Source organism: Homo sapiens, chromosome 4, assembly GCF_000001405.40.
Source record: "Homo sapiens chromosome 4, GRCh38.p14 Primary Assembly".
Taxonomy (NCBI): domain Eukaryota; kingdom Metazoa; phylum Chordata; class Mammalia; order Primates; family Hominidae; genus Homo; species Homo sapiens.
The window spans coordinates 99,875,407-99,901,904 of NC_000004.12; the positions used below are offsets into that span (position 1 = coordinate 99,875,407).

The 26,498-nt window shown below is 35.3% G+C and overlaps 2 protein-coding genes across 7 annotated transcripts in view, besides 1 other annotated feature; both read right to left on the bottom strand.

The window, feature by feature from the left end:
• Window positions 1-2,929: 2,929 nt before the first annotated feature.
• On the bottom strand, window positions 2,930-19,140 carry LAMTOR3 (late endosomal/lysosomal adaptor, MAPK and MTOR activator 3). 3 transcript variants are annotated; one of them, NM_021970.4, is made up of 7 exons: window positions 18,929-19,021; window positions 18,549-18,594; window positions 16,594-16,628; window positions 11,890-11,948; window positions 10,136-10,269; window positions 8,656-8,719; window positions 2,930-6,661 (listed from the first exon to the last, which is right to left on the bottom strand). In NM_021970.4, exons 2-7 carry the CDS (start codon window positions 18,555-18,557, stop codon window positions 6,588-6,590), a joined length of 375 nt encoding a protein of 124 aa, NP_068805.1. In that variant the 5' UTR covers window positions 18,558-18,594; window positions 18,929-19,021; the 3' UTR covers window positions 2,930-6,587. The 3 variants fall into 3 exon arrangements, 2 of the variants coding, with proteins under 2 accessions (NP_068805.1, NP_001230665.1); NM_001243736.1 differs by having other exon boundaries at window positions 2,932-6,661; window positions 10,136-10,248; window positions 18,929-19,140; NR_024170.1 differs by lacking the exon at window positions 18,549-18,594 and having other exon boundaries at window positions 2,932-6,661; window positions 18,929-19,140.
• Window positions 19,120-19,209: a silencer, noted in NCBI's record as "silent region_15583". NCBI's record gives its function as "represses an Ori minimal core promoter by ATAC-STARR-seq in GM12878 lymphoblastoid cells {active_cell/tissue: GM12878}" and the evidence as "EXISTENCE:reporter gene assay evidence [ECO:0000049][PMID:35858748]".
• DNAJB14 (DnaJ heat shock protein family (Hsp40) member B14) overlaps window positions 20,842-26,498 on the bottom strand; it is a 50,371-nt gene continuing 44,714 nt past the window's right edge. For all 4 annotated transcript variants that reach the window (NM_001278310.2, NM_001031723.4, XM_047416185.1 and 1 more), the window contains one exon: window positions 20,842-25,746. In NM_001278310.2, the coding sequence (NP_001265239.1) occupies window positions 25,622-25,746 (125 nt within the window). In that variant the 3' untranslated portion in view covers window positions 20,842-25,621. The remainder of the gene's footprint in view (window positions 25,747-26,498) is intronic.

The window sequence follows — 26,498 nt, forward strand, 5'->3', positions numbered from 1 at the left end:
GGGGCAAACTATGATCCAAAAAGACAGGTCTCAAACAAGGGCAAACTGCATGATCAAAAAACTTACAATTTTTTTTCCTTCCCTACACAAAGATACCATCTGCAACAATGTCATCTTTTTTTTTTGCTTAACTTTTCCTGAAATTTTCAAAATATCATCAATATTTTGCCATATTGTTGAACTCTCCTACACTTAAAAATTTCTTTTTTCTGTTTGGAACACTTTAAAGCAAATTCTAGACATAGTTAATAAATGAGGTATGGTTGTACTCAGCAACTGACAGAACCCCAACATTGGCTCCCTGATCTATAGAGTGTGGGCTATTATCAAAGGAAAGGCCAAGTAGAAACCAGTAGAACTGCCTCCATCTGGAAGATATAAACCAAAAGCAATCCCACATTCCCAGAGGGACTTAGAGGTTAGTGCCACCATCAAGGACTTGATGGATGCAGTGGTGGTGATTCCACTGCATCTCCATTCAGCCCACCTATTTGACCTATGCAGAAAAAGATAGGTCTTGGAGAATGAGTAGATTATCACAAACTTACTCATGTGGTGACTCCAGTTGCAGCTGCTTTTCCAGATGTGATTTCATTGCTTAAGCAAATTAACACATCCCCTGGCACCTGGTATGCAGCTACTGATCTGGCAAATGCCTTTTTCTCCATATCTGTCCATAAGCCCCACCAACAGCTGTATGCTTTCAGCTGGTAAAGCCAACAACATACCTTTACTGTCCTACCCCAAGGGTATATCAGCTCTCTGGCCCTATGTCATAATTTTTCCACAGGGTCTTTGATCACATTTCCCTTCCACAAGACATCACACTGGTCCATTACATTGATGACATTACGCTGATTGGACCTAGTCAACAAGAAGTAGCAAATACCCTAGACATATTGGTAAGACATTTGTCTCAGAGAGTGGGAAATAAATATGACAAAAATTCAAGTGCCTTCCAATTTACCAAAATTTCTAGGGGTCCGGTGGTGTGGGGCCTGTCAAGTATCTCTTCTAAGGTAAAGAATAACTTGTTGCATCTGGCCCTCTGACAAACAAAACAAAACAAAAAAACAGTACATACCTAACAAGCATCTTTGGATTTTGGAGGCAACATTGTTTTCTATATTGCTCATGTAATTCATTGGTCTTACCATGTTCCCCACCATCCTGGAGCAGCTGGCTTGATAAAATGGTAGACTAGCCTTTTGAAAACTCAGTTACAGCACTAGGTAGGTGGTGATATCTTGCAGGGGTGGGGAAATGTTCTCCAGGAGGCTATATATGTTGTAAAATCAGCATCCAATATATGGTGTTCTTCCTTCCATAGCCAGGATTCACAGATCCAGCAATAAAGGGGTGGAAATGGGAGCCATGCCACTCACTATCACCCCTTGTCCACTACCACAATTTTTGTTTTCTGTCCCCAAGTTCCTATGCTCTTTAGGTCTAGAAGACTTTGTTCCAAAACCAGTAATACCTCAACCAGGAGACACAATGATTCTATTAAACTGGACATTAAGTAAGATTGCCACTCTGCCACTTCGCACTCCTCATGCCTCTGACTCAACACATAAAGAAGAGAATTACTGTACTGACTAGGGTAACTAGTCCTGATTGCCCGGGGAAACAGGGCTGCTACTGCACAAGGAAATAAAGAAGGGTATGTCTGAAATACAGGAGATCCACCAGATCTGTTTTACCAAGCCCTGATTAAAGTCAGTGGAAAACTTTAAAACCTATTACAGGCAGGACAACGAATGGCTCAGATTCTTCAGGAATGAAGGTTTGGAATACCTCACCAGGCAGAACCACAAATAGCCAAGTTGCTTGCTGAGTGCAAGGAAATATGGAATAGGCAATGAAAGGTAGTTAAAAATACCAGATACAATCACATGTCCAATTGCCAAAATAAGAATTGTGATTGTCTATTTATGTATACAAATATGTATATATTACACATACACACATATATACTGAACAAATCTTTTCCCCCCTCCTTTATCCTCTTAGCTAATATAAGACATATTAACAGTGGTATCCTTACATCACAGTATTAAGGTACAGGATAGCAAGGAAAAAAGTGATCACCAAAGGACTTTGCATCCTCCTTTGGGGAATGGATTGCATCCTCTTCTGAGGAAACCTCCTCCAGGAAATATTTGTCGTTGTACATGTTAGAAGTACAACCTAGTCTTTATTTGGAGACTAAAATATGGTTTAAGATGCATACAGGCCAGGTGCGGTGGCTCATGCCTGTAATCCCAGCACTTTGGGAGGCCAAGGCAGGCGGATCACCTGAGGTCGGGAGTTTGAGATCAGCCTGGCCAACATGGCAAAACCCCGTCTCTACTAAAAATACAAAAATTAGCCAGGCGTGGTGGTGCACATCTGCAATCCCAGCTACTCAGGAGGCTGAGGCAGGAGACTCGCTTTAACCCAGGAGGCAGAGGTTGCAGTGAGCTGAGATCAGGCCACAGCACTCAAGCCTAAGTGACAGAGTGAGACTCTGTCTCACAAAACAAAAAACAACAAAAAAGATGCATACAGGTGCCAAGCTGACTAGGAATGGACTGTGAACGTTAGTTTTATGCATCAACTTGGCTAGGACACATTGCCTAGTTATTAAAACATGAATCCAGGTACTGCTGTGGATGTATTCTGGAGATGTACTTAACATTTATAATCCCTTAAATTTAAGTAAAAGAGATAATCCTCCATAATGTGGGTGAGACTCATCCAATCAACTGAAAGGCTTTAAGAGCAAAACTGAAGTTTCCAAGAGGACGAACTTCTGCTCTGAAACTGCAGCCTCAGCTCCTACCTGAGACTTTTCAGTCTTCTGGCCCGTCCAACAGATGTTAGACTTGCCAGTCCCCGCAATAGTATAAGCCATTTCCTTGAAATAAATACACATATGTCCAACCGGTTCTGCTTCTTTGGAGAGCCCTGAGACAACTTTCTTCCCCAAATATCCCATTTTATTGTTTGTTGAAATATTTTATTTCTAATTTTATTATTTTTGAACAGTTAAAAACTCAAAGTACAATGAAGTTTACAATGAAAAGGCTCACTCCTGGGATCCTTATCCCCCAGGTATCTAGTTCTGCTCCTTGGAGACTACCAATGTGATCAGGTTCTTCCATATATGTCTTCAGAGACAGTCTACCATATACAAACAAATAGGAATACATACACATTTTTTCTTCTTATACATCAATTGTAGCATGCCATACAGTTTGACACCATGCTTTTCTCAATAAACATTATTATGCCTTAGAGATCTTTTCATCTCAGTACCTAAAGCACTTCTTCATTCCTTTTTCCATTGGGCAAATTAGTTTCACCAATCCTCTGTAATTTATTATCTAAAGTGAGACATTGAGAATGAAAGCACTATTAATAATTATCCAAGAACAGCAGGTATAAACTGGTAGTGTTCAAAAAGCCAAAGCATATGGTTATCCTACCTATGGCAGATATTTAGGTTGCTTCCAATTCTTTGACATTACCAAGTTGCAAAGAATATACTTGTAAATACATACTTTTGCACATCTATGTGCTTTGTTTGGTAGGATAAATTTCTAGAAGTGGAATTGCAGGGCAAAAGGTTATGTATATGAATTTAAAAGTTTCACAGACTGCCAATTGCTGTACATAAAGAGTATAACAAGTCACACTTCCCTAGCAGGCATAGAGAATGCCTGCCCTACTTATTGAATAATCCTTTTCCCATTGTGATCCCGTCTTTATAACAATGTTTTAAGCCCTCACATGTATGTACTGAAGTCTTTTTTCTGGGTGAGTACATACCATTGATATCTAGTTGTGCATTCAGTTCTGTACTACCTTTCAAAAACAGTTAATCTAGGTTTACATTACCCTTTCAAAAATTTCTTAGCAATTTTCACCACCTTATTTTTCCAGATGAACTATGGGATAGTTTATCTATTATACCCCCTCAGAAATTTTAACAGTGGCAGCATTCAACATGTAAAGGTTAAGTAGCTCCATTTGTTATCATTTCTTTTTCTAGGATTTTTAGATATACAATTATTATCTGCAAATAGAAATCTGGCCACCTCATTTCTAAAAGACATTGTTTCATGCACCATTGCACTGGCAAAAATTTCCTGAACGATATTAAATAATCCAGATAATGGGAATTCTGGATTTCAATGAGTACATCTAGTATTTCAATTGTAACAATTAACTACAGTCATGTGTTACGTAACAATGTGGATACATTTCGAGACATGCTTTGTTAGGTGATTTCATCATTATGTGAACATCATACTGTACTGACAGGAACCCCAGATGGTATAGCCTACTACTACACACCTAGGCTATATGGTATAGCCTACTACTACATACCTAGGCTATATGGTATAGCCTACTACACACCTAGGCTATATGGTATAGCCTACTACTATACACCTAGGCTATATGGTATAGCCTACTACTACACACCTAGGCTATATGGTATCGCCTACTACTACACACCTAGGCTATATGGTATAGCCTACTACTACACACCTAGGCTATATGGTATAGCCTACTACACACCTAGGCTATATGGTATAGCCTGCTGTTCTGACCACCCTCGTATGTGGTCCTTCACTAACTGAAACATCATTATATGGTACATGGCTGTATTTATAGCTCTTTGCAGGTAAAGCATTATATCTCTTGCCTCTATTTTATTTACAAAGGCTATTTTCTTGCCCATTTTAAGTGCCCCTAGTCTGTGGTTCTATACCATCCTATGTATAGCTTTATCATAGCACTTTCTATACCTGCTTCCTTTACTGAACTCTAAGTTCTTTAAAGTAAGGTATCACAAATTAATCTCATATTTACACTGAAGAAGGGAGGAAGGATGGAAGGAAGAAAAAGTAGCACATGGCCCGGTGCAGTGGCTCACACCTATAATCCTAGCATTTTGGGAGGCCAAAGCAGGTGGATCACTTTAAGTCAGGAGTTCAAGACCAGCCTGGCCAACATGGTGAATTCCTGTCTCTACTAAAAATACACAAATTTGCCAAGTGCGATGGTGTAAGCCTGTAATCCCAGCTACAAGGGAGAATGGGGCATGAGAACAGCTTGAACCCAGGAGGCAGAGGTTACAGTGAGGCAAGATCATGCCACCACTGCACTCCAGACTGGGCAACACAGCAAGACTCTGTCTCTTAAAAAAAAAAAGAAAGAAAGAAAAAGCAGCACAGCACCTAGCCAATTGCCTCACTGCACAATTCTAGGGATAACAATCACACATATTCTATGTGAAAGGCAACTCCCAGAGCATAGAAATATGATGAGACATGAATGGTGCTTCTTAGAATTGTGCAATGTGATAGCTCGGCTGACTGGCACACAGGTGCTCAATGCATATGTACTGAACTGATCCAGGGAAAAACTGATTGTCAAAGAGCCTAGAAAGAAATTAACTCTGAATGATAGACTGCATTCCTGAACATAAAGGGTATATTCTAGAACTGTAGTACCTCTTTCATGGAGATTAAATTAGGTTCATGCCTGAGGTTTCTTGGTTTCTTTTCTTTTTTGTTTTTGAGACGGAGTCTCTGTTGCCCAGGCTGGGGTGCAGTGGCACAATCTTGGCTGACTGCAATCTCAGGTTTCTTTTCCAGTTAACAGTTCATACTACCGTAAAACAATCTCCAAACCAATACCTACAAGAAACACTCATTATTTATTCATGTGGCTGAAAGAGTATATTAATTATGTTTAGATTTTTGGAAAAAGTCTGAACAAAAAAAGGACCTATACAGTGCTCAAACTATATTTTTAAAAATACTATTTTATTTTTACTCACATATGAAAAAAATGGCTGTACTATCATGTTTACATACATACTAACATTGGAAACAGAATAACGAATTGTATTTAAATTTTATGAAGAACACACAAACATTAAAACACTGATTGGTTACAGAAAGCAGAGTTTGAGGAAAAAACATTAGCTATAATTTTCATTTTCATTAAAGAGCAGCACCCTCTGAGAATAATCAAACTGATTAGTAATATTCATCTATACTGCAAAATAATATGTACAAAGGAAAGTTAGTGATTGTACTGATTTTATTACTTTTACCAAGCCATTTTATGTTCCTCACTCAATGCAAAGAAATAAAACATAATCTGAAGAAAAATATGTCCTTATTATTATTCACAATAAAAAGTTGGCTTTATTCTGCAAGCCTGGGCATATTGTACAATTGGCAGCACTTAACGGCTCAAGTGGATCAATGTACCAGTTTGATTCTGATCCACTGAATAGAATCTCTCATCCATATCTGGTGACCAGACTAACTCCATGGGAGCTGTGATAGACTGAACCATTTCTGTGGTATCCCTAGATCTCACTAAATAAGAAAGACCCTACACCAGAAAATATAGCAACTGATCTATCTATAAATTACATCTATATGCTAGCTCTTTAGTATAAGTTGGAAAAAGGGGCCCTTTCTTGAGCACATGGATAAAAGTATTATTGTAGTCTAAAGATTGCTGGATTGATATTGTGTTGTTATAATGAAGATAAGGTACACACTGAAACCACTGTCAGATTAAGAAACTTCCACAACTTGTCTCAGTTCTTCAAACAATGGAGCAAGTTCCTTTTCTAGGCTGACAATTAGTCCTAAAATAAAGAGATTAAGAAAATTACATGTTAGAAAAATGTTCCTCAAAGCCTGAAACTCAGATTTCCTTATGTCCAAAATACATAGTTACCAAAAGTAAATCAGAACATAGTTTATTTCCCATGACTGAAACAAAATACAGGTTGAATATCCCTTATCCAAAATGCTGGGTATCAGAAGTGTTTTGAATTCTGGAATATTTGTACAATACTTACTATTTGAGCATCCCTAACCCAAAAATCTCAAATATGAAATGCTCCAGTGAGCATTTTCTTTGAATGCCATATTAGTGCTCAGAAAGTTTCAGACTTTAGAATGTTTTGGATTTCAAATTTTTGGATTAGGGATGTTCAACCTGTACTATAACCCTAAATAAAGCAACCAAAAACTTTGTAGTCATTAATAAGTTTATTTTCAGCATCTATTACTAAAGTGAATGAGTGAAAAATACTTATATATTAGGAAATACAGAATAAATTATATGCACTATAATTTGTTAAGAGTTTTGAAAGGAAAATCTTAATTTATACCTTACTGCTTCAAAATTTGCCTTGACTCAGAAATAATACATATGATTTTTACTAAATAAAGCATACTTTTGTCTCTAAGCAAATTTTAACAGATTATATCAAAAGATAGGTGCTTCTATATTGAACAAAGAAAATCAGAAATTTATTTTTATAAATTTGACAAAGCTAAGACATAAATAAATATTTCAAATGAAAAAATATTTTAAAAATAAATGGTAGAGTACAAAACACACTGGAGTTCAATGATGAACCTGGGAGATAAACATCTAGAAATAAGCATATCTTGCTTCTCCTTAGTTTACTAGAGTGAAAGGCTATCTGCCTCAAACAGAGCCTGTTTTATGTTCAAACAAATAAAGATCTTTCTCTGTCTTATAGAATATAAAAAGCATCTGAACTCTCAAGGAAAGGGTCCAAGTACTAAAATATTGTTCTGTACATTATCATAGTATATAACAACTGGTGACTTAGTATGTGATGATAGGTGATTTATCAAAACTCAGATTTAGTATATTTCCTAAATATACTTAAAATCTTAACACCATTACTATCCTATATAATTCAGAAAGTGTTTTTACATACAGTATTTTACAGATTCCTAAAATGTTTTGAAATGGAAGAGATCTAATAGATCATCAAATCTAAACCTCTCATTCTAAAGATGAGGTATCTAAGAACAGGCTTCAGTGACATAGCTAGAAGAACTTGCTCAGTTTGGAAGAAAAAACAAATAGAAAAAAATATATTACAATTCTCAACAGCAATCAAATCTAAAGGAGACAGACCTTTTAATAAAAATCCTACTTTATATAAAATGAAGTAAAAAAATTACAACCAAGTGAATAGTCATTATTTTACACATAAATATCCAGTGAAGGTATTGGATACAATGGAATTTTACTATTCTCTATAAAGGGTACAGCTTCCTAGCATTTGTTCTCAAATTCTTCAGTTCTCAAGAAGAGTGAGACTATGTTCATCCTATTCATGCTCTTTAAATTCTCAATCACATTCATTTTCCCCATTAGGTAAAATTTAAAAAATTCTAATTTAATAGATTGGTCTGTAACTCATCGATCATTTTAATGCGTTTTGTTGGGTTATCTTCACCTTGTTTTCTTAAACTGCTGTAATGGGAGCAAGATGTAGCACTCAGATAACATTTAATTTTCCTGTCTCCAAAAAAAAAAAAAAAAAATCACTTACCCATACACTGTCTCATTTGAACTAGAAAATAACATTGTAAGATGGAGAAAGCATATATTATCTCCATTATACAGATATGGAAACCAGGATTCAGAGAAATCACTTTTCCCAAGACATGGAAAAAAGACAGTGAAACTGGGCCACAAGTTCAAGATTTTTGGCTCTAAATCTACTATTCCTCTTAAATTAAGGTATGGTAATTAAATTAATTTTTTAAAATTAAGGATTAAAGTGATATTTAAGGTCATTAAACACACCTGTATTGGCACTGCTGCTGGCTATGAAACTCACCACCAAAGGTAAACGATTAAATTGAACCACCTAAAAAGAAAATAAGAGCCAAATAATATGTTGCATTATGAAAAGGTAGTATAACTAAACTGAAATGTCTTAATCTTTCAAAAACTTTAAAATCATCAATGTTTTAGCCCAACATTATGGTATTATATTATGAAACAGAAAGGAACTTTATATTTCAGTGAATATTTCCATAAAACAGAATTAGTGATGATCTCTTAGAGACATTAATACCATTTGGCCTGGAAAGTTTTTAAGGTGAAACCATATCTTCATCTTTTTATCTCTAAAGCCCAACAGAATATCAATTACATTGTAAGGACTTAATAAATAGTTGATAATTAAATGGATAAATGCAGTATTTCTCAGTTATTCAAGTAGTTTTATCTTCATGATATTTTCTGGTTCTTGTGTATTACTGTAATTTAAATTAAATTTAAAGTAACTTTAAATCAACTACCTTCAAAAAAAAAGAAAACTTAGTTTAAACCTAATCCTTATTGATGAAATTAAAGGTCAGATGGTTTGGTTATCTTTTACTTAATACACATTAAAATATATAACTTTTAAAATAAAAGATGGGCCTGGCACGGTGGCTCACATCTGTAATCCCAGCACTCTGGGAGGCTGAGGTGGATGGATCACTTGAGGCCAAGAGTTCAAGACCAGCCTGGCCAACATGGTGAAAGTCCGTCTCTACCAAAAATACAAAAATTAGCCAGGCCTGGTGGCACATGCCTGTAATCCCAGCTACTTGGGAGGCTGAGGCGTGAGAATCACTTGAACCTGAGAGGCGGAGGCTGCAGTGAGCTGAGATCATGCCACTGCACTCCAGCATGGGGCAACAGAGCCAGACTCTGTCTTGGAAGAAAAAAAAAAAAAGAGTAACTTACATCAATTGATTAGGAAACATCGCTCTAAAGCACAAGGAATTAATTTAGTCTTAAGAAAATGTAGCTTGAGATCAAGAGACATGCAAAAACTAAAAACTAACTTCTTTCCCACAAATAATAATCTCATTTATTACATATATATATTTCCAAAAAATGAAGGAATTAGCAGCAAGAGCAAATTTAATAAACTTTCAAGGAAAGTTTTTTTTATCTGTTACTACAACAAAAAAAGTGTGTCAGCTGAGAAATCACAGTTGTTTAGCTAACGGCACCATCTACTGGAGGTAACAGTGACCTGACATACTCTTTTTAGGATAACATGTACTTTATTAAATCACTTAATTACTTTTCCATAGTAATTATTTCCTGGTATGAAATGTGAAGAAAATTACTACATTTTAATACAACCAATTTGAAGGCTAAAATTTTACAATTTCATCCTCTTCAAAACTAAAATTGAGAACTATAACACAAACTATTTTATATATATAAAAGGCACAAAAATGACAACTGAAATCAGCAAATCATTTTATAATTATGAACTTACCTGGTAGGTGTTATAGTAACAGATGATACTTTTATTTTTGGAAAGTCCAAGTTTGCTTCCTTGGTCTGTTGCAAGGGCAAAAGTGGATAAGAAACCAGGTCGCAAAGCATGCTCTGGAGCATTGTCATTTGCCACTAGAAAAATAAGTGATTTAAATAAAAATTATGCAGAGGATATGGTAGAGAGATTTACAGCCCTTTTTTTTCATAAACCTCTTTTTAAAATTGAACACAAAGGTTATGTTTCACAATATTGAAAATCATATCACTAATGGGGTCTCATCACTAATCAGGAAAAACTGCTCAATCAAAAGTTCACTGATCACAAGTAAGAGAAAAAATGCTGACTCTCACAATTTTTTTAAATTTTAAAAAGAAAACTAAATGTTTACATTTTCTTGATATCTAACTTAAAACAGATTAATCAAGTACATTTAACTGGTTATCTGAGGACTAGGCTAGAATAAACTAATGAAAAAAGTTACAAAACTTCTGCTCTTATAAAACCCACAGCAGCAGTATCTCTCATAGATATTAACAATCTGCAGCTGGTTACCTGTTTCATGTTTCTCTCACTCATTAAAAGGTTTGCATGGAGTTTGTTATATTAATGAGTGCAGGGCTCAAGGCTTTAACACAGAGATCCTCATGAAGAATATTAGAGCTGGAAAATCTGAGATTATTTTGTTCAAATCCCTCATTACGGAATTAAGAGAAGGCAAGCAATCTGTCCACAGCCATTCAACAGCCATTTTATAGTGGGTTAGAAAGCACACTGGACCACACATCAGGAGATTATGGGTTCTATTACTGTTTTGTTACTGACTCATGTCCGACTTTGGACGGCAATGTCCGAAGATTATAAACCACAGGACCTCCTTTGTTCTTATAATGTGTTTGCCAAAATTCTCCCAGAAATGGAATCAATGTGTATTACAGAAATGTTTATAATCTTTACAAATTCATGCAGTTTATTAATAAGAATCTAAGACATAGCTAACTCTCCATTAAAACTGCTAAGAAGTCCAAGTGTCTTTGCACTTTATCACCTTCACTTATAAAATGAAAGAACTACATTAGTTGACTTCTAAACCTCCTTTCATTTCTAAAGTCTAAAATTATCTGATATATATGACAACTCCAGGTGGAAAATTGTAAACAAAATATACAGAACATTATCCAATCTTTAATCTTTGATAAAGCCACTATAGTGTCCCAATAAAACTAGGAACATCCATTCTCATAATACCATAATATAGAAATAGTAAAAATTGTCTGAATCCATACTGACTCTCTGTGACATCATGTTTACTTATGATCCAAATACATGGGTATTATCCTAAAACAACTAGCAATTTGATAAAATGTGTGTGTGGTATGTATATATATACACACACACATATATATATAGTAGGGGTGTCTGTGTGTATATCTAGCTGAATACATGCTCACTCTCATCACTTAGATTTACTAATGGTTTACGTTACACTGTAAATGTCTTTAATGGGAAATGGGTCTGTGATAAATCCATGCTTAAACTCTAGATGTTAATATGATACATGTGATATATAATACATTGTAGATTCAAATTCAACCTTCAACATACAAAAGCAAACACTTTCCCCAATACTAAGACCATCTCCCAAATTTACTAAAATGAATTTTATGTTTGCCTGCTGTACTACTCAGATGTAAATTACACACATTTTTAGTCAAAAGCAAAGAAGACATTTGCATTTAAATGTTCAGTTTTACCTTTAATAACAGGTACTCCATCTCTATCTGACACAACAATGGCATGGAGCCCTTCAACACTAGAAAAAGAAAATAGTTAAAATATAAAAAAAGTTAAAATATAAAATTTTAAAAAGTTAAAATATAAAATATTTCATTTTCTCAAACTATGCACCTCAAAGACATAATAATTCTCATGTATTTTCTGAAAAACCACAGACCCCAAAATTCTCCCAGAAATTGAATCAATGTGTATTATAGAAATGTTTATAATATTTACAAGTTCATGCAGTTTATTAATAAGAATCTAAGACATAGATAACTCTCCATTAAAACTACTAATGAATGATCAGTCCATGGTACACAAAAGCATGAAAGATTATCAGCAGGGGCTATAGTGACAAAAAACAGCCTTTTTCCTTTTTCATTCATGCAAATATTAAGCGGCCAGTATTTGTGGCACTTAATACTTTGATACTATGAAAAACAGAAATAAGCACAATCATTGCCTTCACATGGCTTCCAATGTAAAAAGTGAATGTGTTACCAATAAAATAATCTCACAATAACAAACGTAAAACTAAAACTGGTGGCAAGTGTTGTTAAAAAGTTCATAGGGATATGAGAACCTAGAAAAGAGGAGGCTGATGCAGACAGACAGTGGGCCAGAGAAGGCTTTCCTGGAGGCAGTAATACATCAGCTGAGACGTTATGGCACTAAGTGAAAAGACGTGGAAAAACTGTTCCTGGCTGAAGAAACAGGGCAAAAGGAATGCAGGCTATGCAGTAATCCTTTCAGCCATGCTTACGTAAGAAGTAGTAAGCAGAACGGTCAAGCTATAGCTCTAAAGTTAGAAAGATCTGGGTTCCAGTCCAGGCTCTGCCACTTATTATTTATGCTATCTTGGGCTAGTTATGAAACCTTTACAAGCCTCAGATTAACAATTTGAAAATGGGAATAACTGTACTTACTTAGATACTGTGAAATTTAATAATACAAGGCATGTAAAGTGTAGGCTGGCACATAATTCAAAAATATCACTTATTAACTAATACCAGTGGTGTCAATTGTGCACACTGACAATGACATAATTTATCACTAAAGTACTAAGTTATCAGTGAGAATCCCTGGGAAATTAGCAATTAAGAAACATATGGTAGAGCACAAATATACTGTGTTAAAAAATATAAGGTGACACTCCTCGACTTTCAACATTTATGCAAAACCCTTTCATTGTTAACATAAATCTTATAGTCCTGTAACTATCTTATGGTATCTATAAACTACAACTCAGAGATATGTTCAATGTCCCTACAGCAACCCGGAATGATCTATTCTTTGTGTTAACTTTAATGTATTAACTAAGGAATAAGAAATACTTATATTAACCTAATGTTTAAATACTGACATTAAATTTTTTAAAATCCCATTGTCAAAAACTTTTAAGTCAGAAAAGTGTTATTAAATATGAATGGAAAATGTTACAAACAAAATCATTTGTCTTCCTTACATTAAAAATAAGAATAAAATAACTTTATAAATGACTTTTATACTATTTTTATCCTATTATTGGCATGATTTCCTAATCATTCAATCCTAAACTTATTTATAGATTAAAATATATCTCTAAGATTAATACATAACATAGGCCGGGCACAGTGGCTGACGCCTGTAATCCCAGCAATTTGGGAGGCCAAGGTGGGCAGATCACCTGAGGTCAGGAGTTTGAGACCAGCCTGGCCAACATGATGAAACCCCGTCTCAGCCAAAAACACAAAAATTAGCTGGGTGTGGTGGTGCTTGTCTGTAATCCCAGCTACTTGGGAGACTGAGGCATAAGAATCGATTGAACCTGGGTTGCAGTGAGCCAAGATTGCGCCACTGCACTCCCAGCCTGGGTGACAGAACGAGAGTCTGTCTCAACAACAACAACAAAAAGATTAATACATAAAATAAATATATTCTTCTAAGTTAAAAACTAGGTTATATAAAACATATACTACAGATATTTGTACATAAGCCAATTATTTTGTGCAGTTACCAAAAGCAACATCATTTGAAACAGTAAAGCATTACAAATCCAACTGTCCATCAAGAAGGACAAGGTAAGTTATGATATACACCTACAAAGGAATACTCTGGAATACTCTGCAGCCATGAGAAAGAGGAAGTTCTCTATGTACCAGGAAAGATTACTCTCAAAGTTACATTCTTAAGTGAAAAAATACACAGTTTAGAACAGTGTATAGAAGAAGCAATAAATTATGTACCAAAATATGCAGGCATATGTGTATGTTGTGTGTATAAATACGTGTATATACATGTCTGCTCATAGGTACATAAAATATCTCTGTAGGTAATGGTGGGTGCCTCTTTGAGGGGAAACTGTGCATGTGGCTGGAGAGGAAGGATGGGCAGCTTCTCACTCTATGTTCTTCAGTTAAGTCTTGAATCTGAACTCTGTGAATGTACTACTTACCCCCAAAATAAATTAAAAAGCAGGTAAAAAGAGGACCACAAAAATGTTTAGAAAAATTAGTGCCACCACAGGTAGCTTCTTTTTTTAAATTTCCATGGAAATTACTTTAAATACAACTAATGCTCCAAAGAAAATAAAAGGACTTTCTTTTTGATGGACTTCACAGAGAAATGAATCAAGAAAGTAGAAAAATTACTTACACTCTTAAGTATATAATTTTAGAAATCAGGTCACAAATATAAAAGCTGTTTTCAATTCTACATACAATGCGCAAAGAGTAATATAAATAGAATTTACTAATAATTAAAAATAACTGGCTCATTAAGAGATACTACACTTTTAGAAGAAATGAATTAAATTTTGTGAAATATTCTGAAGAAATCTAAACCTTAAGCTTACTAAAACAACCATTTTTTTCTAAAAACAAATGTTGCATTACTAATCAAAGACATCGGATTTAGTTTTATACACATAATTATGAAATATTTGGTTGTTTTAAAACATACAAAGTGGGATTATTAAAGCCTGAGACTGCTTTGGGTCACAACCAGATTTTAAATTGCAAATACAAGAACGATATTTTGCAGAGAATTCAAAAAACGCACAAAAACACACATTCCATTAGTATCCGTAGCTGGCTGACTTTGTTACTGAGAGGCACTGAGGTACAACAGTTAAAAGCATGAATCCATGGCTCTGAAGCAGGATGCCTGCATCCAAACCCATACATCTAGCAACAAATCAAAGCGTATATTCTACTATTCTTCATAAATGTTCAAAACATTATTATTTCTTCATTATTACTGTTCTGGGATGCAATAAGCCTATTTTCAATAAATGATATAATGAGTTGAACTGGCTTTTTTTCATTATTAAAAAAAAAACTGACAGTACTAATACCTTTCCTGCCATTATGAAAGATTTTCATAAAGCTTTTAACAAATATCCTTTAACTGAATTTATTTCTTGGATAAGCACAACAACCTGATATTTCCCCTTTTGTTAAAAGATAAGAGACATCTAAATTCAAAGAAGAAGCAAGCATTTACTTTCCAACTATTTTTGATCAACATTAGAACTACTCAGTAATATAATAAATACTTTTGGTATTATTCTCTAATTCCTTTACACAGACAGCTTCATCATATCCAGTGTCACACGCTATTATGATTTTGAGAGCACACTTAATAGTTAAAATGAGATCCCCATTGTCTGAAACATTTTTATTGCTTATAATCACAGATGATGTAATTAGAATCAATTATTGCTTTATTAGATCTCCAGGTGACTAATGAGTATCTTTCTGGTCGGTTTATAACTTAAGAACATTGAATGCAATTTTGCTGTTTCTTCAATAAGAGATGCTAACACTCAAAAGAGGACTGTAAATCACTAAGACTTCTAAGTGAATTAACTATGTACTATTAACTATTTCATCATATCACCAGCGTAGTGGGGTATCTCTCCGTCCCAATTTGAGCGCCCTTTCATTACGCTAAGGTAACTACAGAAAAACACAGAAAGCCCTCATTTTGCATAGTTCCAATATGCACATTTTAGTTACTATGGTTAAGTAATACCACTCCCTGCAGAAGAGCACAGGTCAAATTTTAGTTAGCATGGCATAATACCTCAATAACTACGTAAAGTATAAACTTTTCTAACTCTTTAGTCCACAAATCACTACATAAATAATTATGTAATTAACAGATGCACACTGTCATCAGTAACCAGCCACATCATTTCTTTCAAAGTATGTTGATGGTTGGTCACTGTGCATCTGTTATGCAGCTCATGCAGAGATAGCAAAGCATGTAGTTTTGTACCTCCTTGTCTCCCAATGATAAAGTATGTGACATTTAGAAAAAGAGATAATAAAAAGAGGAAACTGGCCAACAAAGACGAAATACAGCAAAGAAATGAAAAGTAATAATGCTGAAATTTCAAATAGAAATGCTGAATTTCAAATAGAAAGTAAAGAATTATAGAAGAAACAGATGACCAAGGGAATGCTGACACTATCGCTCTAGATACACAGAGAACTCAGTGAAGGCAAACTTATTGACATAAATGAGGAAAGCGGTTGTGACGAAAATTTTCCAGAGGACGTGAGGCTGGCAAAAAATATTCATATTAAAGGAAATCTCAGAGATACTTCACAACATGGAAAATACAGACAAAATGCTTCATAAAATTAACATATGGCATATAGAATTTATTCAATAACAAATTAAAAATTTCTTACCTTGGTAACTTTTTATACAAGAATCGCTTTAGGTCCTGAAAGAGAGCATTAAAAAATAATGTTGTAATAATAGGCCTTCCACTGTTTTCTAGATCCTGTCCTATCCAAATTTTAAGGAACTTCAGTTATCATTCATAACCTTTCTTGCTGTGTTTTATCTTTCTCTGTCTGATTTGGATGTTTACTAGTCACGCAACTTGGAGTAAGTTAACCAACCTTTTTTCGCTAAGCTTATTTCATTATTTGTTGAATAGGGCTAATATAGAACCTACATCATAAAAGTGTTGTTAAAAGTTTATTGAGAAGATGCATGGATTAGCATACCTAGAAATGGGAAACACATTTTAGCCATAAAATTACATCATAATTTTCATACTAGTGTTTTACATCCTGTTGCTATTGTGTTCACTTGAGAAGACGTTATAAACACCTTTCCATGTTCAAAGATAGACTTTCCACCATCATCTTAATGGTCTTGGGTAAGGTGATATGACCTCTGTAAGACTGTTGTCTCACGTGACTATCACATTATAAAAATATGCCTTCCATTGTTTCATTATTTGTTGAACTCACCTACTCAACAAATAATGAAACAGTGTAAGGCATATTATTATAACGTAATTTTTAAAATATTTTGTTTAAGGACCTAAAATAAATTCTATATGACTATGTGAGGCAACATTTTTTTTTTTTTTTGAGACGGAGTTTCGCTCTTGTTGTCCAGGCTGGAGTGCAATGGCGCGATCTCGGCTCACTGCGACCTCTGCCTCCCAGGTTCAAACGATTCTCCTGCCTCAACCTCCCGAGTAGCTGGGATTACAAGCACCTGCCACCATGCCCAGCTAATTTTTTGTATTTTTAGAAAAGACAACGTTTTACCATGTTGGCCAGGCTGGTCTCGAACTCCTGACCTCAGGTGATCCACCCGCCTTGGCCTCCCAAAGTGCTGGGATTACAGACGTGAGCCACCGCGCCCAGCCCAGTGTTACAGAATATAAAATAAATGACAATGTGTGTCAAGTGTTTAACACGAAACACAGTTAAGACTAAAGAAGTAGAAGACTATTTTATTTTTCTAAGCTGGGGCTCACTGCAACTTCCAACTTCTGGGCTCAAGCAATCGTCTCGCCTCACTTCCAGCATAGCTGTGACTACAGAGGTATCAATGCGCCTGGCTGATTTTTAAATTTCTTTTTGTAGAACGGGGTCTTGCTATGTTGCCCAGGCTGATCTTGAACTCCCGGCCTCAAGTGATCCTTCCATCTCGGCCTCCCAAAGTGCTGAGATTACAGACTAAGCAACCGCATTGGCCAGAAGACTATCTTATTTTGTCTCATTACACTCTCTTATCCCAGGAATTTCACTGACAATTTAGGTATCAATTTTGACCTCACATGGATTAATCAGGTATCTCTTGTTTTGAGCATCCAGCACTTACTATTCTCCAAACCCGACTGATCATTTTATCCTCCTACACACACACACACACACGTTACCATGTTTCTAAAGAGGCATGGGTTAGAAATCATCGTAAATTGCTACAATAAACCAAATGAGATATTGTTATCACTTACTGGAAAAAAGTATTGTGGGTACATGTCCTACTGACCAAATTCTGACAGGAAAAGCAGCAAACCATCATTCAGAATTTCAAATGGTAAATATACAGAGCCTCTCTTATGCCCCAGCTGGACTGGGGAGTAGGGAGAACCTAATTTTCTCAGTCTCAAGCACCTTAGTGTCCTACACCCCCATTCGAGGCAGAAACTCAGGATCCTGCAAATTCATTCATATTAGTCTCCCACTTCAGATATCAGAGAAAATAATTAACTGGGATGGGTGGGGCTGGGAGGATCAAAACAAATTTCTGTTTGGGAAGTTCTACCTCTCCCCGCTCAGTATGCCCCTCAAAATTCCCCACTCTCCCCTTCCTCTTATGTAGGGGTGTCACTCACATCCGCCATGATGAACCCCCTTCTCTCGCAGGATCAATCTCCACGCCTGGAAGAGAAACTCCCGGTGACTCTTCCCTCTTTGGCTTCCTCGTCCTCCCCACCCACAACTTAATACGCGAGATCAGCCCTGGTCAGAACCAGGTAAAACCCCCGCGGTTCTAGGGCTTGGCCCAGCGAGCCCAGTGGGAGTCGGAGTGCCCCAGCACCCCCACAGGTACTCAGCTGGCACACCTTACCTCAGCCCACCCCATCCCTGCCCCTCCACCCCAAAGAGCTAGGCCCAAAGAAAAGAAGAGAGGGTCCTCTCCTTCTGTTTAATCTCACCACCCGCGCCACCTGCGGGACTAGGCCTCAAAACCAGGCAAAGTAGCGCCAGTTACCTGGGGTTTCTGGGCTGCCTGGTTCTCTCCGCTGTCACTTCAGGGACAGCTTTAAAGACAGGTTCCTCCTCAAGCCACCGTCACATGATTCATGACCTCGTCTGCGCTCCAGGAAGCACTTTCTAAGCCGCCGTCGCCCTACGATACGGGATTTCCGGAGGGGCCCGGCGGAAGCTGCGAGGGCGCGTCCGGCGGCCGCGCCCCTCCCCTCCCCCCCGCCCCGCACGCGCCCCGCCCCTCCCCCGCCCACCGCGGGCCGCGTCTTGCGCCTGCGCCTTGTGTCACGGGCCGAAGGAAGTCAGCTGTGGGGTAGATTTGTACGAGATCGCTGGACCCTAAGGAACCCAGAAAATGCAAGCAAGGTTATGTGTTACAAGACATTCTTGTGCAGAGAGGGTGTATAAATGTCATTAGTTTTGCAGGGTCTGTTATCTTAAAACCTTTTCTTGTAGATGAAGAAATTTGAGGGGATGGTGTGATGAGCTGAAGAGCAAGCACCAGATTGCCTGTGATTGGAAGTACCAGGTCCACAGGTTTCTGACCTGTTTCCTAGGCTCTTGTGACTTCCCCATGGGTGCTCTTTACTGAAGGCCTTACCTAGATTGAATGGGGAGGAGCCATGGGTTTTCTGGAGCACTTCAAGCGTCTACTTTTAACATGCAGACACTGATTACGGGCACCTTCTATGTTCCCTTTTACATCAGAATTTTTAAAAATTAGTAAGGTCTCATGTAATAAATAATAATTGAAAAAAATAAAAGGCTTTCCGGGTGCGGTGGCTGACGCCTGTAGTCGCAGCACTTTGGGAGTCCGAGGCGGGACGATCCTTTGAGCCCAGGAGTTCCACAGCAGCCTGGCAAGATAGGACCCCATCTCTACAAATAATAATAATAATTAAGAATTATCCGAACGTGGCGTGCACCAGGTACTCGGGAGGCTGAGGCAGGAGGATCCCTTGAGCCCAGGGTTTGAGGCTGCATCGAGTGGTGATCGCCCCACTGAACTCCAGCTTGTGTGACAGAGCGAGACCCTCAAAAGAAAAGCTTCTTTAGAAATCGCATCCTCTTTCAGCTACCACACTGTTTTTCCTCTACTCCCTTTCATAGCCAAATTTTCAGAAAACTTTAGCCTGGTTTTCAATTGCTGCTTCCATATGTCACAAATCTAATCAGAGTTCTGTTGATTCTACCTCCTATCTTTGAAAACTATTCACCTATCTATATTCCTACCCTACTCCAAGCCATGATCATCTCTCTTTTGACAACAACCTCCTATTCTTCTTACATTCTCTTTTGCCCTCCAGTCTCCACACAGCAACAAAAATGATGTTCTAAAGACCCAAATCACATCATTTAACTCCTTCCTTGAAAATCAAGTTTATTGACTTAGGATAAAGTTCAATATCAGCATCATGGTTTATATATCATTCTTATGGGGATCTGGCCCCTATCTTAATTCTCTCACCTACCCTGGATTCCTTATGCTATGATCATACAAGTTTGTTTTCACTTCCATAAAGATTTTTATCACTTTACCAACTTAGCACGTTCTGCCTGAGATATTTCTCTAGCATACCTTAATCCTACTAATCTCATCTTTTGCATTTTGGCTTAAACTCACTCTCAGAGAAGCCTTCCCTGACCCTCACTGAATAGTTTAGGTCTTCTAGATAAATGCTTTCATTGTACCCTGTAATTTTCTTTGTAGAATTTATCATAATTATAATTATTTACTTGATATTTATTTTCTTTGCTAGATGTAAACTCTTTAAGGTTTTTGTCTTTCTTATTCAGTGATTAATTCCCAGCACCCAGCTCACTGCCTGGGATATAGCAAGCATTGACATACTTGTTGAATAGTTGAATGAATGAAAGAGTGGCCATATTGAGTATAAAACATGATAAAAACAAACATTTTACAGTGAGAACAGACCTTTTTATTAATATATTGAGATAAACTACAGAGACTGAAAGACAAAAATTCATATTTCATTCAGAACATTCATTAAAAATCAAATGCATTTGAGTTCTCACAGAAAATTTTATGTAAGTCTGATATAACATTAAATATTTTACAAATCAGACATTTCATTTTGAAATCTAATTTTTAATCCTGAATGCATTATAGACAAAGTAAGCTCTCCTTTACCAATTTCATTTAACTTATACAAGGCTTCCATTATAATTCCATCAAACCTTAAAAATTACCTGCAGCTTTTAAAAACACATAAAGTAAATGGAAAGAAAGTCTTATGTAGCAATCCAAAAACTAAAACTAGAAATTGGCAAGAAGCATTTCTTAATACAGATAAACTGCAAAATATCATTTATGTGTGTTTCTTCTCATTGGTTTAATCATCCTATTAAAAATAATTTTTTGAAAGTAATAATTACAATACTCCAATGTCACTGAAAATCTCTATGATTTTAATGGTGTCCTTAAATGGCAAAGTAGAATATCAGACTGAAATGTACAGAGTGTTGTGCTGAAGTGAATGAGACTTGCCATGCCAGGTGTCATCTGCTATGCAGTTACAAGACATCTTGGCAACTAGTCATCCCAGTTTTTACTAACTTACTAAACAAGGACATTTCAAGAAATACTTCTTACCCCTATGTATTTCCAGATGGCTGGATATAGAAAGATATAATTATGTTTGAAGCATGGGCCTTATAATAGGAATCTCTCCATTAAAATATGAAAAAGAGCAACAAATAATTCACACCAATGAAATTGTGTTGACTGATTTTCAAAGTCAGACATAAAAATATCCACTGCTAATGGAAGCCCTGCTCTGTGCAAACATAGTGTGGTATATATTAAACAATCACACATTTGAGGTAATTAGCTGGGAAAAAAAAAAAAAAATATATATATATATATATACACCTATACATAGACACATCCACAGAATATTCACAAATCTATTGGCCCCAACACCAGCAGATAGTCATATTAAATGAAAAATATCACATACCAACAGGAAAAAGTTACACATAGGGAATATACAAAAAATATGGTGCTATAATCCTTAATATAAGGAGTATGTTTTGAATTAATGTTTTGAGGAAAAGTGTTTCCATTTATATGAAAGTATCTATTTAATAGTAATAAAACCAAAAAGGAAGCTGAATTCTAGGACTGTTTTACCTGCCAAATAATTGAAGGGATGAGCAAGAATTCCTTGAAAAGCCTCATTCTATCCTTTTTCTTTGTAACTAAAAATTAGAATTTAAAATGTTGGAAATTATTGCCAGACAAGTTTCTTTTCATTGGTTTATAGGGAATTTTATGGATTTTAACTAGGCAATGGTCCAATGTGGTCAACAGACATGGTTTTTCAGCTGTTGAATGAAAATTAAAATAAAGATTTATTGTTGATTTTCATTAGTTTTTCTGTTCAGATAAGAAAAAAGATTATGAATTCCCTTTCAGTTTGCTTCACTCATTATGAAGATGGATAGTAATAGGATAGTACTGAACCCAAGCTTCACATGGGGAAGCTCAAGAAATGTACAAATTCTCTTCTTAACCATTTGGTCCTCTGATATAAAACTTGCTTAACTGGCAAGATGGCTCACTTGGTCCTCAAGCCAACATCAAGAAATATTTAGCTGTCTTAACACAGGTGGGAGACTTTTTTTTAATGAAATACATAGGAATCCATTAAGTAACATTAGCATGTCATGTGTTAAATAGCTTCATTTAAAAATGTTACAGATCAACAGAAGGGAAATCAAAAACTTATTTTTCTCAGTAACTACTTTACATACTAGTGTAATTAAAGGTTTAACTGGAAGAAAAATTCAGCATAAAAGTATAATTAAAGTAAAAAGCTGGTATTCCACATTCCTGTTCCTATGAACACCTGAGCTGGCACAAAAGCTGAGTAGTTTAATGCATTGGCATATATATGCCTTAAGGACTGTACTTTTCTCTACCAAATCTTTGTAAATCATAAACAAGCATGTAATGATTATGAAACAAATACTTATTTAGGTGTTCAAATGTAATCTGTTTACAAAATATATTATTTTCACTTATTAGATGAATTCAACTTGACATTTTTCATTGCTGAGAATTCAGTTCACATTTAATCAAACTACATTTCGAAATTTACAGATGACTAAATGACTAGCACCAGTCTATTTGGGAACTAAGGAATCAAAAGAAGAGGAGAAAGGTACTATTTTTCATTTCCCCCAAACCCTCACAAGGACAATAATGTTTGTGTGTATATGCATGGGTGTATTTGTGTTTACACAAAAAGGGGTAAAAATGTAAAGCATTAATAAATATAAGTGCTGCTAAACTGTTAGAATACCAGTTAGAGGAGCTAATAAAGCAATATTCAAAGATTGAGGACTTTTAGGTGGTCATTAGAATGAGCCGATGAAATTGCGAAGTTCATGTAGCTAAACATAAGATGGCAAAATGTTGGGATTTTTATTATAAAAAAAGCAGCAAACATGAAAATCTTTTATCAAGATATCCAAACTCTTCTTACTTTATAAAGTTAACTCCAAATTATAAGATACTTGTTGAGCTTTTATACCATGATATAGATGACATTAAGGACTGAATCTTTACTTGCATACTTCATATGTGGCTTAAATTGTCAGGCACTCAGTCTGTCATTTCTCACTGCAGAAAATTTTATCAAACACATTTTCCCTAGCATTTTATGAAATTTAATGGAATGCAGCACTGCAACTGAAATATAATACTGTCCAAAAGCCATGTATGACTTTATAATATATACTTTATGGTATCACTTAACTTTGTACAATAACTTCACCTATCTCCTTAAAGCTGGGATTAAGGGAAAAAGAATCAGTCAACAAGAAGGTAAGTTCACAGAATTATCAGCCATAATAGTGTAAATTTGCCATTAAAATTAGAAAAATAAATAGATGAAATTTTTTTCATTCAAATTTTCATAAATTTTCTGATGCATATGAACTTTCAAAGTTAATTAAAATGCTATGAACTTATATTTTTAAAAACTTACTCTGCAGGCTCAACAAAATAATTAAAATTGTATTTTCTCTTAAGCACTGCTTTTTTTTTTTTTTTAAGGTAACATTTCTAAGAGCAAGTTGGTTAAGCTCTCCAGTTTTCCTATGACAGTATGTTGTTTAGTTTAACCTACTAATTCAATCAGGCATTTCTATTGATTCACCTGGAAAAGGGGATACAACAGAACATTTTTAAGAGGTCATTTTAGCAGTTTTATTCAACAGATGCCATAAATTAACTACATTCAGGAAAAAAAACTTAAACAAAGAACAAAGCCACCCTATCTAGCATTCTCTCACTCACAAAGAAGTATCAAAGATATGTTTATGTTCCATTAACCGAGTATGAAGCAAAATCATTAAAATATTACAACTGCTAAACACAGAAGACTAGAAATCAAATAGTTTCATATCCAGTATACAGGCATCAAAAACTTCAATTTCCAGCTGTTTTTTTTTTCTAATTCATATCATGGATTTACTTACAAGGAGCTTATTCCTATGGGATTAATTCAATTACTCAATGGTAAATAGATTTTAGCTCAGAATTTTTAAAGGATGACTTGCTTTAAGTTACTATTCTACGTGCTGCTCTATTTCTGCTCACACTTGCATGTGGCCAAACAGATCATGCTCTGATCAGATAAGTATACTGTAATCTACTTATATGTTTAGGAGTTGGCATAGGGTTAAAAGGCACAAAGCTGTATTTTAGTACTCATTTTTCTTATTACTTATTTGTAAAGGAACTTCTTTGGATCCTGCTTAAATGATCACCAAGAAACTGCAAATTTCTATGGGGGAAAATGTGAGTCCTCTTCATAAATTTTAGCAGCCCTTCAAGGACATATACATCAAAATTTGGTGGCCTTTAAAGTATTGGAATTTTAAATGACATAACTGCACTTTACTGTTGAAGACCCTTTTAGTTTAATATTTATAGCCATTTCCTCATATTTTCTTTAAAATTTATCAGTATAGCATTTCATTTCTATGCATGTATATGTATAGTAATTCATAAAACTAAATAGCAAACTGATATTCTACACCAGTTCATTTATCTCAATATATATTTTGGAATATAACGGCAATATTAAAAATATCAATTCCCTCTAAGCTGATAATACTATAAGATTTTACACAAAGTTAAAGTTTTTGTTTTTTCTTTTTGAAAAAGTTTCATTGTTTAAAGTCCACATATTTGACACCTTGATAAGGAAAATGTAAATGTGTCATATAACATTTATTCCATCAATTTAAACTGAAGTGTCTCATGGAGCTAAACACTAAAAGAATTTAAATAAAAAAGCAGTAACCTGTATGTACACAAAATGATCATTCCATAAATATTTACATGACAAGGGAAAAAATGGAGAATCACTAAAACTGGAAATTGCTACAGGTGTGATAATCCTTTCTCATGACACTTTAGTTAGGAATCATGTAAGCTTTTAAAATGAAAATACTTGTAGAAGCGTTAACTAAAATATTCCATTTTAGTTTTCAGTTACTATTTAAAGGAGCCAGTAGGTCATAAACAGTCCAAGATTTCAGGAACCAACTATTCAGTTTAGTTTTCAGTATCAAATCTTTTCCTTCATCCCTCATGATGAAACCAAACTTACTTACAGAAAAAATAAAGAGTACGCTAAAAGGTATAAATAAAAATTCCAGTTCATCCTCCTTTATAAAGACTGGTAAGCCGCTCTAATTCTTTACAGTTGTCCATGCTCAAGGCATCTGCCTTCCTTCGGAGTCGATCATCACGGTATACTTTTGCTGCATACTGCATATCTGTTTCTGTTAATAAAGAAAAATATTTTGCTAATTGAATAAAATTTTTGTCACCTAGTTGCTTAAGCTCAAGTGATGCTTTACAGGAGCCCTTTGATATATTTTGATTAACTGACTTAAAAAAAATCAAAGTACAATTCCTAAAAGCCATTTTAGTAGGAAAAAAATTTTAATGAAAACTTTATTTGAAGTATAGCAGGTAAAACAAACACAGAAAATAAATAAGGATAGAATCCTGTCAACTCACGTTGGAATCCTTTCTCTCTACTCCTGTTCCCCAGTGGTTTAAAAACTATTCCTCTGAAGCATCATCTTGGACTCTTTTCCTAAAAATATTATATGCTTTTCAATACTGCCAGTGGTTGTTTCACTGTGGCCTTCTGTTAAGATTTCAGATTATCCCAAGACTTAAGTATTTAATAAAAAATTTAAAATCTTGTTCTGAGTTTACTTAAATTAAAAAATACATATAATAATATTACTGAAGGAACACAGATAAAAAAAATGCTTGTTATACGATCGTAATATTGCTATTCAGCAAATAAGTACTTCTGAGGCTTCCTTCAGTGTGTGGGACAGCACAGCTACTAATGATATACAGACTACAAATCAAAATTCTTCAAGGAGTATTTCTTGTTTTTTCCTGTTACTCTCAGTCATTTCACTGTTTATTAATACCTGTAAAGACTAGGAGCACTTAAAGAAGATGTAACAGAAAAAGAAATCAGTTACTTTCTGGAACACAATGGCCAAAGTAG

Bases quoted from the DNA above. Each gene is read 5' to 3' on its own strand.
- LAMTOR3 (NM_021970.4), bottom strand. The intron at 10,270-11,889 runs GTAAAACTGAAC...TTATTTTTCTAG, and splicing joins TGGAGTACCTGTTATTAAAG to TGGCAAATGACAATGCTCCA. The intron at 6,662-8,655 runs GTGTGTTTAATG...TCTTTATTTTAG, and splicing joins CAGCAGCAGTGCCAATACAG to GACTAATTGTCAGCCTAGAA.